The sequence below is a fragment of the Homo sapiens genome, chromosome 6, assembly GCF_000001405.40.
Source record: "Homo sapiens chromosome 6, GRCh38.p14 Primary Assembly".
NCBI classification, from domain to species: domain Eukaryota; kingdom Metazoa; phylum Chordata; class Mammalia; order Primates; family Hominidae; genus Homo; species Homo sapiens.
In genome coordinates, this window is record NC_000006.12 from 87,902,998 (window position 1) to 87,918,174 (window position 15,177).

The 15,177-nt window shown below is 40.7% G+C and overlaps 1 long non-coding RNA gene across 1 annotated transcript in view, besides 2 other annotated features; it reads left to right on the forward strand.

Moving 5' to 3' along the window:
- LOC101928911 (uncharacterized) overlaps positions 1–8,734 on the forward strand; it is a 126,872-nt gene extending 118,138 nt beyond the window's left edge. Inside the window, exons 3-5 of the long non-coding RNA NR_110869.1 lie at positions 6,785–6,917; positions 7,682–7,801; positions 8,655–8,734. This is a non-coding gene — a long non-coding RNA (uncharacterized LOC101928911). The remainder of the gene's footprint in view (positions 1–6,784; positions 6,918–7,681; positions 7,802–8,654) is intronic.
- Positions 2,207–2,456: an enhancer, noted in NCBI's record as "active region_24811". NCBI's record gives its function as "activates an Ori minimal core promoter by ATAC-STARR-seq in GM12878 lymphoblastoid cells {active_cell/tissue: GM12878}" and the evidence as "EXISTENCE:reporter gene assay evidence [ECO:0000049][PMID:35858748]".
- Positions 4,541–4,590: an enhancer, noted in NCBI's record as "active region_24812". NCBI's record gives its function as "activates an Ori minimal core promoter by ATAC-STARR-seq in GM12878 lymphoblastoid cells {active_cell/tissue: GM12878}" and the evidence as "EXISTENCE:reporter gene assay evidence [ECO:0000049][PMID:35858748]".
- Positions 8,735–15,177: the final 6,443 nt, after the last annotated feature.

A 15,177-nucleotide genomic window follows, 5' to 3' on the forward strand; every position in this document is an offset into this window, starting at 1 on the left:
GTAATTCTTGCTCATTGTAAAAATGTTAACAACATTAACACATTTACAGTGAAGGCAAGTTTTTCTTCTGTGTACCTCAGACCTCCTTGAAGGCAACCACTGTTATCAGTGACTCCTCCACTTCCAGAGGTATTCTGTGAGCCTACATGCTGGGCATTTCATTATTTTTCTTCCAACTTCTTCCTCTCCATTTGTTAGACCAGTAGTGCTCAAGTGCTATTGTACAAACACTAGGGGAATTGCTTAGAAATGCAGATTTCCTAGTCCTTTTCCCAGAAATTCTGATTTTGTGGGCCTGGGTGAGTTCAAGGAGTCTGTATGAGTAACTGACCAGGTGATTCTGAAGCACACACCCTACTTGGAGATACTGTTTTAGAAAATAATTAGGGTCTCACTGCCCTGGGGATGAATCTGGTTGAGGTGTAGGAATCTCTCATAATGCCATGTCTATTTTTCGAGTCTTTGACCTTTACCGGGGCCACCTTCCCTTTGGTTTCCATGGTGACGCACGGAGGTCTTCCACATGTAATTAGTCTAAGGATCTTGATTCGTTCCATCGCCTCTCACTGACCGTTCGAGTGCTGCGCTGCAGTGTTATTAGCAAGGCTGAGAAAACTCAATTTGTTTTCTTTCTTCCTCCACTTATGTGATTATAGTTAACATCAGTTTTCTTATATCTCTGAGGAATAAGTAACGGTCGCGAAACTGCAGACTTTTGAGAGATGACAGTAACTTAGACATTGTTTCAGCCAGTCTTTAGATGGGAAAACTGAGTCCCAGAGAAATTAAGAAACTTGTCCAAGATAACAAAATAAATTAATGGCAGAGCTGACTAGAAACTTGGTTTACTAACTCTACATCTGGTGCTTTTTTTCTCATTTTGGTGGCAGCTAAAATCTCAGAGTCTCTGAAAATTATTCAAACAGTTCCTGTTCCCCAGTCCACCTGCCCCCTTGAAATACATCCTCGGTTCCCTGTTTCCCTAGACCTTTCCTGGGCCACACCAGCCCTGGTTGGTTGTCTTGCTCAGTGCAGTGACAGGGTGAATTATTTCTGCATTCTTGAATGTAGCAAAACTTATCTACTTGAACCTCAGGTCACCAAATATAAAGCAATTTTGAACTGAAGGGGTTGTGGATACTTTAAGTCTCTGTGGGAATACAGGAGCTCACAATTCTTATTCTCAGCTTCCTCAAACAAAGGCTCAAGGAACAGTCCTCATTACTTTTCAGAGGTTGGGGGAGGGTTAAGGTCAGGAAGAGGTTGCTGAGTTTACAGTCTCATCCTGTCTCCCTCCTCCTATTGACAAGTCATCAGGATGGTTTATAGATTACTGCCTTACTTTAAGGCCTGTTTGTTGATGTTTGCAGACATTTATCCAATCTCAAGAAACTCAAGGGACCTGATTTCAACTTCAAATTATATATTATCCATATTTGGGATGGAATGGGCAATTTTAATAGAGAAACCCTATCAATCAGGCCAGGGAATAAATAGGAGGGCTTTGATTTATATACTGTGTTGAAATCATCTATATTGATTTAAAATTTTTAAAGTTCCTATGAATGTAATATTTTAACCTGAATATGATTCTTAACAATCCCCTCTCCTCAAATTGTATTCTTCTATTTTTTTTAACCTTTGGTGAAATATTAACTTACTGTACCATGCATTGATAATGTCCCCAGAGGTTAGCCAGGAGAAATATCAGCGTGTCCTTGGAGAGCTTGTCTATCCTGATGAGAACAAAAATTCTAGGACAAAAAGGCTCAATTCCTGAAATAATTACAGTAACTTCAGAAAGGAAATTAAGTATCTATTGAAAGATACACTTAGTAGAATAGTGACTTTTCCTACACATTTAAAATTTAGATACTATATTCAGGAAAAGGGAATTTACCAGGGTTTTTGGATGCAAATGATGAGAAATTAGTTAGTATCTGCAAGCCTGTAAGTACAATATAGTTTTGTACTTATGTAATTAGAGCTGTTTGTGAATCACTCTAATGTCACGTCTGATAGCTATAGTCCTTCAAAGGGGTATTTACATTAAGCCTGATGATAGGTACAGGCATGGAGACAATGAAATTCATTTTATCTATTGTAACATGCAGCCAGTAAATTAGCTTCCCTTTAACTTATGCTACGAAATGATGCTATTTAGTTTATGTGCATTATTCTTGGACTTCTGCATTCCTGGGAAAAGGTTGTCAAAGGTTGTATTAGCTGTGCAGTGAGGCAGCACAGCATGTCCAGGCACATACTCAGGTTAAAACCCTGCTGTACACATCTGCTGTCATTACCCTTTGCATCTTTGCTGATAATTTTTAAGAACCAAAACTGTATGTTGCTATTTTTAGTCCACTTACTTTCTGTTGAGGGTGATGGTCATTATTCTGACATTTCGTGACATATATGTCCACCCCCTGCTCCCCTGCATCAAAATAGATATGTTTTCATACCTACCACACAATCCAGCTGGGCTCAATTTGCATTTAGTTCTCTGGGGAGAGTTAATAATTTTATTTTCAAAAGGTCACTTGCTGACACACAACCTATAAAATAGTTAGCTACCCAAGATTCTTTTCACTCATTCCTCAAATACTTGGTTTAGTTTGGTCTTTTTAATTCACTACTGAAAATCCATTGCCTCTAGGAATTTCAATATTGCATTACAGCATAACAAACTATCCAATATCACTAATGGCCTATTTAGGAATGAAATGCTTTTTTTTTTTCTGGTTTTAAGCAATTTCTAATTTTGAAGGGGATCAGGCACCATCTACAAGGATAGAGTTAATAGCTCCCTGAAGGGACACATCACTAGCCAGGTCATAAAAATCATGCATGCTTTGCTCTTTCAGCCATAAGGCAAGAGGAAAACAAATACGCCTATTTTCCCTCTGCATTACCTTTGTGGTCTGAGGATGTTTGAAAAATTACAGCCATTATATTATTATTATTATTGTTATTTTTTACAATGTTTCTGAAATATGCATTTTTATTCATGTTTATCTATTTATATCTGGTATTTATCTATTTATGTCCTTTCCTCAAGAATTTACTCTCTAAGATGTCTTCTTTCAAAATCATATCCAAAACAGAACGCAAGTGCTGGGATGAATATAATATATACCATTTGAGAATTTGCCAGGCGTAACTATTAACTGGAAGATTCAAGCAAAGAACTAGTTAGTAAGGGAAGAAATTACTCAACATATTTGTTTTGGCTGCTCACATCAATCAGATTTGTGAGATAATAGCTTTAATTCCTTGTGATGAAACACACCAATCCTTTTCTGTATTACAAATGTACCCCAGTTTGACTAAGACAAAAATCAATCTAAATGCAGTGCATTTGCTTTGTCATTGTAAATGGTGCTTGGGTAATGAGCCCCTCAGGGATGGACGGGAGAGAACAGAGCAGTAGAGGAGGAAACAGGAGTGGGTGGGCTAAGGGCAAGGTTTATGATCCAACCTAGAAATCAGGAGGGAAGACATTGGGAAAACATTTCAGTATTCGAAGAGAGGGCCAGACAGTGAGGTGAAGAAGACCCAACAGAACTGGACTTAAGGTGGGGAGGGGGAAAGATGTCATAAAGGTGTTTAGGATGCTCCCCCTATGGGGCTGCAGGCACAGGGAGAGGTGTGTATCGTTAAGTGGCTGCAGGGAAGCACCTTGGATTCAAATCCAAGGTCTTCACCTGAAACCTAAGCAGATTTGGAAAGAACTTAATTGTTCTTAAGAGGAAAGGAGCTAGTGTTTTTTGAGCTCTTCCAAATGGGCCTGGCCTTCCACAGATGTCATCTCATTTAATTCCGCACAGCATCCCTATGAAGTAAATTACAATAATAATAGCTAACATCCTTTACACGCTTAGTATGTGCCTGGCACAGCACACTAAGTGCTCGTTTTGCATTGCCTCTTCCTAACAGCCCTTTCTAATTGAGGAAACAGATTTGAAGATGGGGGTAATTTACTCAAGGAATTTAAATCCAAATATGTTTGGATCCAGGAGCTGGAATTGACATCCAAATATGTTTGATCCAAAGCCTAGACTTTCTGGTATACCATGATGCTTCCTCAGTGAGTGTAAAAACCAATGGAGATGGATAGAGAGCCAGGTTATGTGTCAGTTTGTGACAAGTTGTAGCTGGTGGGTAAGCTGAGTACCTGCCCTTTACTTGGATAGGCCACGCCTTTTTCTAAATGCCTCACAATGAAGTCAAGGTTATGGTCAAAAGAAGTTTTTAAGGTGAGGATTTCCATGATTTATGCAGGAGCAAGAACAAGGAGTGGAAATATAGCCAGGGCCCATCCCTATGTTACCATCTAATGGTAAATAACCAAACACACAAAAACAAAAGACTCCAGACCCCCAAGTCTTTGAGCAGTAGTGAAAGGAATCTCAGGAGAATATGGGAAGGCTTGATCGGATGGTACTTTGGAAACTGTTATTTCATTCAGCATCCCACACTGCCTCTGGGCTTCACGACGGCCACTTAAAGAGGAGACAATTCTGCTTTGTAACTGTCGCCAAATGTGAGGAGAGGAGGGCTTCCTGGAGAATGTCTTTCTCTTGAACTCGAAGGTGGATCTGCTCTCCCCATAGCCTCCACAGGCTACTGCAGCAGTATTTCCTCCCCCAAGGGGAGGAAAGGTCAAAGAAGCCAAAAATGGGGGGATCAGTAGCTATAGCAACACAGTCCTCTTCCCCACACCATAGATGCCTGTGGGATTAAGAAAAACTTTCATCACTGGATTTTCTTGGCTTCTGATGATCCAGGATGTGGTTGTGGTGTGTCTGAGTGTGATTATTTTGAAATTTGAGGTTTAGAACCAGTTACCACCAAGAATGCTCAGTGGGTGGCATTGCCTGTGCTCTTTCAGACATAAATGGGAGATGTGAGCTCAGAAAGAAGCTTTTGTATCTAAAATGTATTTTTATGATTAAATTATAATTTTTATAAATGAACCTTAGTATCATTAAGCTATATTATCTCATGGCTTTCAGCTAGAATTTTGTGATGTGCTATTAAACAAAAAGCAACCCATACATGAAGTCTATAAAATGAACTTGCTAAATTCTGAACTTCAAACAACTTTCTTCTCTTCAAAATGCCCCAATCTTCATGCTATACTTTTAATTTATGATAAAGACTTTATTATCTTTTATGGTGGAAAAAAGAGGGTAGCATATGAGTTAAGACTTCTGGTTATCTGAGCTTCAAGTCAAGTTAATTCCCCAAACTTCCAGCTGTACCTGATACCCTGTCTGCTACATGAGGCACAAAACTACAAGTGCCCCCTAAGGAATTTAAATGTAAGGAGTTTCAACAACTCCTGAGGAGAGACAGCATAAGAAGAGGACGTAAAAACCATATCCCATTTCAAAGTGAATTTTCAAAACCCAAAACACTCTAAAACACATCCTGAAACCAGGTAAGAAAATAAAGTTTCAATTCAGAAATAATTAAGATTGAAAATAAACTTGTCCTGGTTAAAGCAAATGACTGGGTTGGCAGAGGAGGGGAATGAACAGCTGTCCAGCTGTTACAGGTGTTTAGGAAAATGCGACACAGTAGGACTATGCCCTTGAAGCTGGGCTAGACTCTAGGTTCTTAAGTAGAGTGTCTCCTGTGGCATAATTTTTTGATTAGGGTTCAAAAATGGAGCAAAAATTTATTTTGGAGGACAAAAGAAAAACCCGCCTCTAGAATTATCCACGTGGTAAAATGTCAGATATGATGGACAAGAACAGGAATTTTCTGTTTTGCCACTTTCAGAGTTAATTTTCTTCTTCTTTTGAAATCAGGAGGAATTACAAAAACCTTTTATATCAGATTTGCAAATACCAATAAATTGCCCACCCCTACTTCTGTCTTTATCAGCTTGCCCTTTTGACAGGCAGCACACAGTAAAATGAATAAATTCAGCACATTTTCCTGTTCACCAAGCATAAATTATTACTAACTGTGGTGAGAGGCTATTTGAAAAGCTGTTTTATTTGAGAGAGGAGCCTTCTTTTATCTACAGATGATTCTGTTTGAAATCAAAGTAGATATTGTCTTATCTTTGCGACCTCAGGAAACTGAACTATGATGACGTATTTCCATTCTAAAGAGGGCAATGAGAGGATGCAGGCATAAGCTGAATAAACTTGACTAATCTATTCCTGTTCTTGGTTCAGATTCCCAGTCTTTGAAATACTAGGAGAATTACCATAGCATTAGTATGTGATACGACACCATTGCATGTTATCTGGATTGTGTTATAACTGGCAGGCTTCAGCTCTGGGTGGAGGGATTGGACTTAGGGGTGAACTCAGAAATCCCTTCCAAGTGAAATGCATTATGTGTCTCTCATACCATGGCCCTTTAGTAATGGGCTGTTGCTCTGTAATTTTTGCTGGTCTTTCAGCTTTCATGCATTAAGTCATGATTTCCGTCAAAGAAGCTCTATGATTCTCACACCTGAAAGGATTGTAGCAATTTGATGAAGTATCAGTTTGAAGTAACACTGACAAAAATGTATATCTATCAAATGATTATAGCTTTTATTCAATGACAAACAGCATGGAAATTCATAAATAGTTTTTATGCAGTAGCACATTTATTCAGTCCTCATTTCATTTGATGCCTGTCTTCTGCCTAGTGCTTTCAACATAATAAATTGGGCGTTGAACCATGAAGCTGGCATTTAGCATTAACATGTCATATTGTACCGCTTACCATTTTGCTATTTCCTTGATTGATTTTTCTTTCTATTTATTTTTTATTTCAGAAGAGTGCAATGATTTCAGGATCAATGATTTCTGAAAATGAACATTTTTAATAAAGCAGCTCTGGACTGTGATTCCTAACTATTGGGGCATTGGCATTAAAGAAAAGAGATTGGACATTTTGAACCTTGTGTGGTAAGGCAAAAAATAACACTGAATCGAAGTGTCTTGGCTCTGAGCAGGGCTGACTCATAACCTTGGCTCTCCAATTCAGAAGGAAGCAGTGTTTTGGGGGGACTGAATCACCGGCCCAGGCGGCACGTGCGTGAGGTTGAGCAGTGAGACCAACTGCTCGACAAGCCATGTTGGTTGTTCTCTCAGTGAAGTGAAAAGCATGTGAAAATTGCTCATCCTCACACGTTAGGTCTTAAAATAGCCTGCGCTGTTGATCCATTTATGAGAAATATGCCACCAGTTTTCTTAGCTCACCTGGGTGAAAGTTCAAATGACCAAAAACCCTGTGTGGTAGAAACACATTTGAAATATAAAACTTTAGGGTCAACTTTGACTGCTCTTCCTTTCCTGCCAGGAAATAATTTCTTCAGTCACCCCCATTTTTGCCCTGAATGCCTCTTATGGAAGTGACACCATGACTCTTGTTACCTCTCACCTCATCAATGCCATGGCCATTAAAGGGCATGAAGGGGTTAGGATTCCTCAGTTGCAAGCAACAGAAACCAATTCTAGGTAATAAAATGGAATTACTGGGAGGACACAGAATCAGCAGGAGGATGGACAGTTGGGCTTGCAAATAGGTAGGAACAGGGCACCTCTGGAAGGCCAGGAAGCAGGAAGCATAGCATCTGCTTCACACAGGTTGAGTCTGGCTGGGGCCAGGACAACTGTGGCCATGGATGATGTCTAATCATTCCTTCTGACTTTGCATCATTGGTTTATAGTGTCAAAATGAAACTTTTTGTCCCTGGATATGTTGAGACGGGAAGAAGGAAAATCTGATTCTATGGTTTACTACACTCCAGGAATTATCATCCCTCTAACACCACACATGATGGAAAGAGGTAATTATCAAAAAGGAAACTGGAGGGGCATTGGGAAGTGAGAAAGGATGTTGGGTGACAATTGTCCATGAGAAGACATTTTTCCTCTTCCAACTTTTCATCTCTCCAACTCATTTCAGTTCAATTCAAAAAACATTAAGTTTCAACTTTGCACAAGGCATTGTTAGATATTGGGCATGTTGAAAAAGAGGTTGTCTACACTTTGCTGTCAGTCATGTTGCATTTAGTGGGGCCATGCACTCTTATGGCTTTTCATTGAGGAGTGGAGATGAAGGATTGCCACATCTGGCATGCATTCCATCATTGAAGCCTTCAGTAGAGCTGTGAGCCATGTGAAGCCTTTGATCTCTTCTACATTTCTCACCTGCACCTCTCTGGTATTCTTTTGCCTTCTAAGGCTCACTACTCCCTCTGCTTCCCTTTGTGTCTTAGCCTTACTCTTAGCTACCTGCCAAACAATATCATTAAGATGTTAGGTGAAAGCAGGCATAAGGGATCTTATTGGGGTGCTAGAAATGTTCTAAATATGGATTATGGTGATGGTTACACAACTCAGTAAATTTACTAAAAGGCAGTACATTTTACATTTAAAACAGGTGAATTTTATGGCATGCAAACTATACCTCAACAAAGTTGTTAAAAAGATGTCAGGTGATGATCAAGGCCAGAAAAGGCACTTGTTTGGTTGGAAAAGGCTTTTAGAAGGGAAAGAGTAAATGAGAGTGGTGGAATGATGGCAGGAGTGTTTGACAAGCCAGCCTAAGGCACCAATGGTACCAGAGTTGCAGAAAACCAAAGCTCAGGAGCAGCCCAACTAGTGACTGCTTGATTATCTGTCATCACTTTGCTTCAGAAAACTTGGGGCTCAATGGTTGCTCCCAAAGAGTACCCAAATGCTGGTCCATGAGCTGAGACTGGGCACCTCACACTACAGGTGCTTCCCCAGCAGAGAGCAATGTCCTGGAAGGGAAGATTGTTGTTCTGTGACCTCCCTTTTCCTCCCAATTTCTCCCCCTTCATCTTTGGAAGTTCACCTGATGGAAGTGGATAATATCATACAGTTTGAACTTTATTATTATTTTGTGTTTTTATTTTATTTTTTTCTTGTTGAATCTTATGCAAGTTTGGTGTCCTGATCTACAAAGGCAGGAACTCTTTCTATTTCTTTGGCATCTCGCACAGCATCTTCAGTTGCATTGGAACTTTTAAAGTATCCTTCTGTTCTCTGCTGGCCTCCCCAGATTTCACTGAGCTGTGATTTGTGGAAGGGGAATATCTTCCCAAATACAAGTGTATTGGAATCAACCTTCCTGACACTTTCTCTAATCTGCCCCCTGCTCCTCCCCTTTGGTGAATGAATGGCTAATGCAAATGGTCAAAGATTGATATTTCTTTTGGAAAATTATAAAAGGATGGGGGTATGTTCCTCAATAGAGAATGGACATATGTCTATCTCTCTAAAAACAAAATAAATAAATAAATAAATAAATAAATAAATAAATAAAGCGGGCTCTGTCTCATTTGTCAGTTAAAAGGGCCACCTCCTCCTTGCTTTGTACACCAAAGCAAGCTCTTCCTATACTGATGATACTGATGAGGGGAGACAGGGATTTTCACTTTCTGTTCTAGCTTTTCTAACTACAACTAGGGTGCTACTCAGGTGTCCCCTTTCCCATCAGTCTGTCTGTCCTCAATTTGAGGTAGGAGATATGTAGCCAAACCACATTCTCCAATTTAGCTGTTTCCAGGAAGCCTAAACCTTGGGCAGAGGTGTATTTAGATAGTTGCTTAGTCTGTTATAAGTCCAATATTTGGATTCTTGTTCAGATGTCTGTTTGGGCATGTCTGCTCTATTGGCCACAGCAATGGAGAGGAAGGAGAGTGAGTAGAAGTTTGGGAGCCCAAACACTACCTTAAACCCCTAGCATGAGATAAGTCCAACAGTTGGGTTAACCAGATGGTTGTGCAATTTTAGTTAAGATTGCCCTATATCTTAAGTAGTAATGGTTTAGGTGGGCAACAGTGCATTCTATATGTGTGTGTAATAGAGAGTTTTCATCCCCATGGCTATACAGAGCAGCAGTGGGGTGAGATTCTCAACTAGGTTACCAAAACTGTAGACCCTAAAGCCTACACTGATTTTAAGAGGACCCTGTTACTTTGTGCAAGACCTGCTAAGAAGCTTCTGAGTTTGGCCGGGCGTGGTGGCTCATGTCTGTAATCCTAGCACTTTGGGAGGGCGAGGTGGGCAGATGTCCTGAGATCAGGAGTTCGAGACCAGCATGGCGAACATAGTGAAACTCCATCTTTACTAAAAATACAAAAAATTAGCTAGGTGTGGTGGCACACACCTATAATCCCAGCTACTCAGGAGGGTGAGGCAGGAGAATCGCTTGAACCTGGGAGGCAGAGGTTGCAGTGAGCTGAGATTGTGCCACTGCATTGCAGCCTGGGTGACAAAGTGATACTCTGCCAAAAAAAAAAAAAAAAAAAGAAGAAGCTTCTGAGTTTGTATCCATCTATATTATTTAGCTCCCTCCAAATCCTCTTGGCCAATCTCAGGCATTGTTGTACTCCCACTTATCCTGTGGCAAAGCCTACATTTGCAACATGTTCCACATCCTGGTTTTCCTCCAAAACAGTTGTTAGTGACATGTTACCAGCATAGTGCTGGAAGAAAATAGACCCTAAGTTAGTTACTATCCTTTTCAGAGGTGAAGGATGCATTTCAGCATACACCCCCATGCACATAGCTATATCTCAAAACTGGCATTTTGTCCCAAAGGTCATCCCCGCAACACCTCCACACACCTAATTCTTCAAAATATGGCTGGCATCTCTCTAGCTTAGTGGTTTTGTGTCTCTCACTAATTATTTCCTCTATTGGAAACATTTCCACCTTTCTCCCTTTCTGATGGCAGGCACACTGAGAACTGGGATTGTTCAGAATCCCTGTGAGGGCCTCTTGAACTCTGTGCCTGCCCCCCAACCCAGATGGTTCCATGTGTAAAAGAGATAAAGAGTGGGGACAGAGAAGGGCCCCCACTGTGCCTTTACAGCAGGAAATACATTACTGGGTTTTCTTGGCCTCCTGGCTGAGTGACCTGTTTATTTTTATGAATAAAACTTCATATTCGTTGCAAAAGTATAACAACAACACTGAATAATAGTATACTATAAGACTGTGTTGTCTAAGGATACCAGTGCTCAGCTCAGGCTTCTGTTTTTCTGATATCGAGTAGCAAAATGCACCCTCTCCTTTTTGCCCCCTTCTCCCATGGTAGTGAATGAGCTTTGAAACCTTTTTGATTCTGAATGAGCAGCAGAATGAAAGGGCCTTCATTTAAAATGGGGAGGCTGAGCCAGCTTGCTTTCTCTCCAGCTTCCTCCCTGAGCTTAGCAGCCGACCTTTTGGCTCAGCGACGGGCCTGCTGGTTAAATGTAACCACTGAACAATCACTTTACAGGATTTCTACCTTATTAAAAATCGAGTATGGCCACCAGGGATTCCAGCGTAAAGGTAATAAAAGAGCACCTAATAAAAACTTTAAAATGTGTTAAAACACACATGTTCCGAGACTGGTAGGTAGAGCAATCTTTAACCTCCACTAACCCCTGAAGACTAGGATTCAAGAACCAGAGTTTAAAAAATGAAACTGGAGCTACAAAATTGGAATTAGAGGACATTTTCAAACTCTAAACATTATTTTTCCCCCCAAATTGTTTCCTAAATGGTGAACACTCATGCTGACTGTATTGTTTATACCTGATTTACACTTTCTCTATTTCAAAATGTGGGAACTAGTTGTATAAATCTGTACAAAAATGTAAACATTTGAACATTTGATGACCAAACCATGTTTTCTAATTTTAATTAATGAATTATGAGTTACATGGAGAAAAATGAGTGTCAACTTCTACAACCTTGGATGACATATATCTTACGGCAGGACAGAGGCACAGTTTATCTGTCACTATTCTCACCTGCTAATAAAGAAAAATATAGAAAATATATTTTCTGAGAACTTGCTGACATTGTCTTTTTGCTATTTTTCTTAGTTTTTTCTTAGGTAATTTCAGAAGGAATTTGGTTTTCAATGTAATGAAACATGTACATGTTCTCCAATGCTGACATGTAAGTGATTTTTCTTCCTGTCATTCGGCTTGTATACATGTTTGCATTTTCCTCTGGAAAAGGAATGCTGGTTTCCATCATAGGGAGAATTGTAAGACTGTGAGTACCATATTTATTAGATTCTGTTTCTGCATGTGAGTAGAATTAGAAAGAGGGCAATGCAGAGGATAACAAATTACCCTCTCATTGGCTGGTGGTGACTAGCAGCTGCAGCAGAACAGCTAGTAGTCAGATTCCAGAAGCCAAATGTTCCTTATAAGGCGGCAGGATGTGGTGGAGAGAGTCTAGAACTAGCAGGCAGCTGACCCAGCTTGTTCTGCTTCTTCTGCTAACAACTTGTTTAGCTTTAAACAAGACATGGCACACCTTTCTCCCTCAGCCTTGAGGGATATTTCATCTGCGAAATGGGTGCATATGTGTGTGTGGAGGGTGGGAGGTGGGTAGATAATCTCTAAGCTCTGAGCTTTCACACTCTGATTATTTCATTATAGAATCAGAACAATTTGAAAGGCCCTCTTAGGACTTGCTATTTCATTGCTTTGCGTTATAGCAATTCTGTACCAAAAGCACGCAGGATAAAGGCAACCTGGTCTAAATCAATGATAAAATGATAACTCATTTAGGAAGTGCTTTCTCTGTGGGCTTCTAACAAATGTAACTAGGAGAAAGATCTTCAATCTTTTCTGCCCAGAGGATGGGGAAGAGGATGCCCCTTGCTGAAAAAAATAGATTGTGCCCCTATAAATTATGCTCTAATAAAGGCAAGGGGCTATGTGGGGTTTTACTCACCATTGTACTCTGAATGCCTAGCAAGGTGCCTATAGGCAGTGAATGAATATCTGTTGAATGAATGAATAAAGGAAACATTCAGCAGGGTCTATGTGTGACTAAGGATTTTAAAGAGATATCTGATTTTTAATGGGGCAATTTCTCATGCCAGGAAAGCTCAACGGACACAATTTATAAGTGGGGGTAAGGCTTAGGGAAGGACAGATAAAGGAAAGAAATTAGACTGCTTTGAACAATAATATGGTTCTGCTTTTATTGTGAGTTAAGACTGAGTTAGGAAAATATTTCTCTTATTCACCATTGGTTTAGACCGTTACAACTTTCTGAGAATGCTGGACAACAGGGATAGGTGTGTCTTCAGCTTACCTCTTAAAGATGACTAAATCAAGAGCCTACATCCATCTAGTGTTCCACTGCAGGACTTAAGTGCCAAAACCAGAACACACCCCTTGGGACATGGCGTTGATAGGGACAAGAGGCAGAGAAATTCTGGGCAGGAAAGGGCGGGGTCCCTGGTGAGGGCCCCACCCTCAAGCCTGGAACCATGGCCCAAAGCGAGAATTTTACTCCCCATTTTCTCACTCAAATGTTGCCTTTTCCAAAACCACCCCTGGCCCTCCCTGCCCTGCTCCTGTACCCACAAAAACCCCAGGCTCCACTGGCAGAGAACAGAGAAGGGGAGAGAGTAGAAGCAGCTGAAAGTCAGAGAATGTGGTTTAATGTGGAGAAAAGCAGCTTGACTTCAGAGGAACGGCTTGACAGCATTGCTTCAGAAGATCACCTTCCTGCTCCATCCCCCTTTCAGCTCCCCTTCCTGCTGAGAGCCACTTTCACTGGCAACAAAATCCTCTGCATTTACCACCCTTCAGTTCATTTGTGCAACCTCATTTTTCCTGGATGCCAAACAAGAGCTTAAGTTCCATAGGTTCAGATGCTAAAGGCTGTCACACTGACCCTCTGCCCTCACTGGTGGAGAGCAACTGCCTTATGCAAAAAGGCAGAAGGCCCACTGAGCTGTTTAACACTTAAGCTGTCTGCAGATGGCAAAGCTAAAAGAGCACTGTAACACATGCCCTCTGGGGCTTTGGGGGTTGTAGATACTCCCCCCCAGATGCTGCTGTGGGCCCACACGGAGTTTTGCTCCTGCCAGCACCCAAAAGCACTTGCTCTGACTCCTGCACCCACTTACCTGCGTGCTCTCCCTCCTGCAAGGGATTGAGAGCTGCAGGCTAAGTAAGGCCCACGAAGGGGTCAGGGAAAATTTCCTGCCTCAGAGTGCCAGGCCATTGTGATCTATTATCCTCAAGGCCTCTGGTTCTTATTCCAGACTGAGCATCTCAGACCTAGGAATTGTGCTGCTGCAGAGGAGGTAGATACCATAAGTAGAGAGGGGTTTCTCAAAAGGTAGTCAGAGAGGAGTGCAGGTTAGAAGGAGGTTGCTCTTGAAGACATGAGGACATGGGACCAAAGTTAGGATCTGAGATTTTCTGAGATGACCTTTATGAAGGATTTAACTTCTGGGGTATTTTTCTTTTGGAATATAAAAAATTTATGTTTAGTGCAAGGCTTAAAAACCTTCTTTCCTTTCTGTTGAAACTTCCCTTAATTATTTTAACCTTTCAGGAGATTCGGATAGTCTCACTTCTCTTGCCTTTTTAGGCACCTAAAAGAACTAGAAAAGAATATAAAAGGGTGTTTTATTTTAGACAGACCTGCCATACTTACTTTTTTTTGTGTGTGTGTATCAAGGAAACAGAATCCTACAAACTAAACTTTGGTACCCAGGAAGGTCCTGGGGAAGCCAAATAAATGCAGCTGAGTCACTGTGCCCAAAGACCACCTAGGTCGGCTGTCATTACGATAATACTTTTTCAAAATGAATGCCTATAAATGGGGCTCACCAAATTTTTGAGCATTTAACATTTTCATCATGTAATCAATAGCAGAGATGTGGAAAAAGCAGCTTGGCTTTGTCAAGGACCATGTTAGCTCAAGTAGTTTGTATTACGGTAGGACCATTATTATTTGCCCAGACAACCTTGAATGCTTCTTTGCCATAATTGGTTAGTCAATTGGACAAGAATGATCAGCAACAAAGGCAGCACAGAAATATAAAGATCACACATTTGTTCTCATTTCCAGAGGAAATATTTTGGAAGACAGATTTTCTGGAGTGTCTTTTTTTTTCCTGGTCTCTAACTTCATTACCTAGTCCTGAATTCTATGATTGCTGTTGCTTACCCATAGATCATGATGATTTGGAAATGAGAAGCTGCCAGTCTAGAAAGCTCTGCTTTTGCCTGGTAAGCTAAAGACCACAGGATGCTGGACGCTTTAAAGTGCCATTCAGGCAGGAAAATAAAAGTTAAGTCAGGCCTGGACACTAACAGCTGCTTTTTCAATCTGCAAAGCTATTCTTCTATAATTACTGAAGCCAGAAGTTGCTTAAACT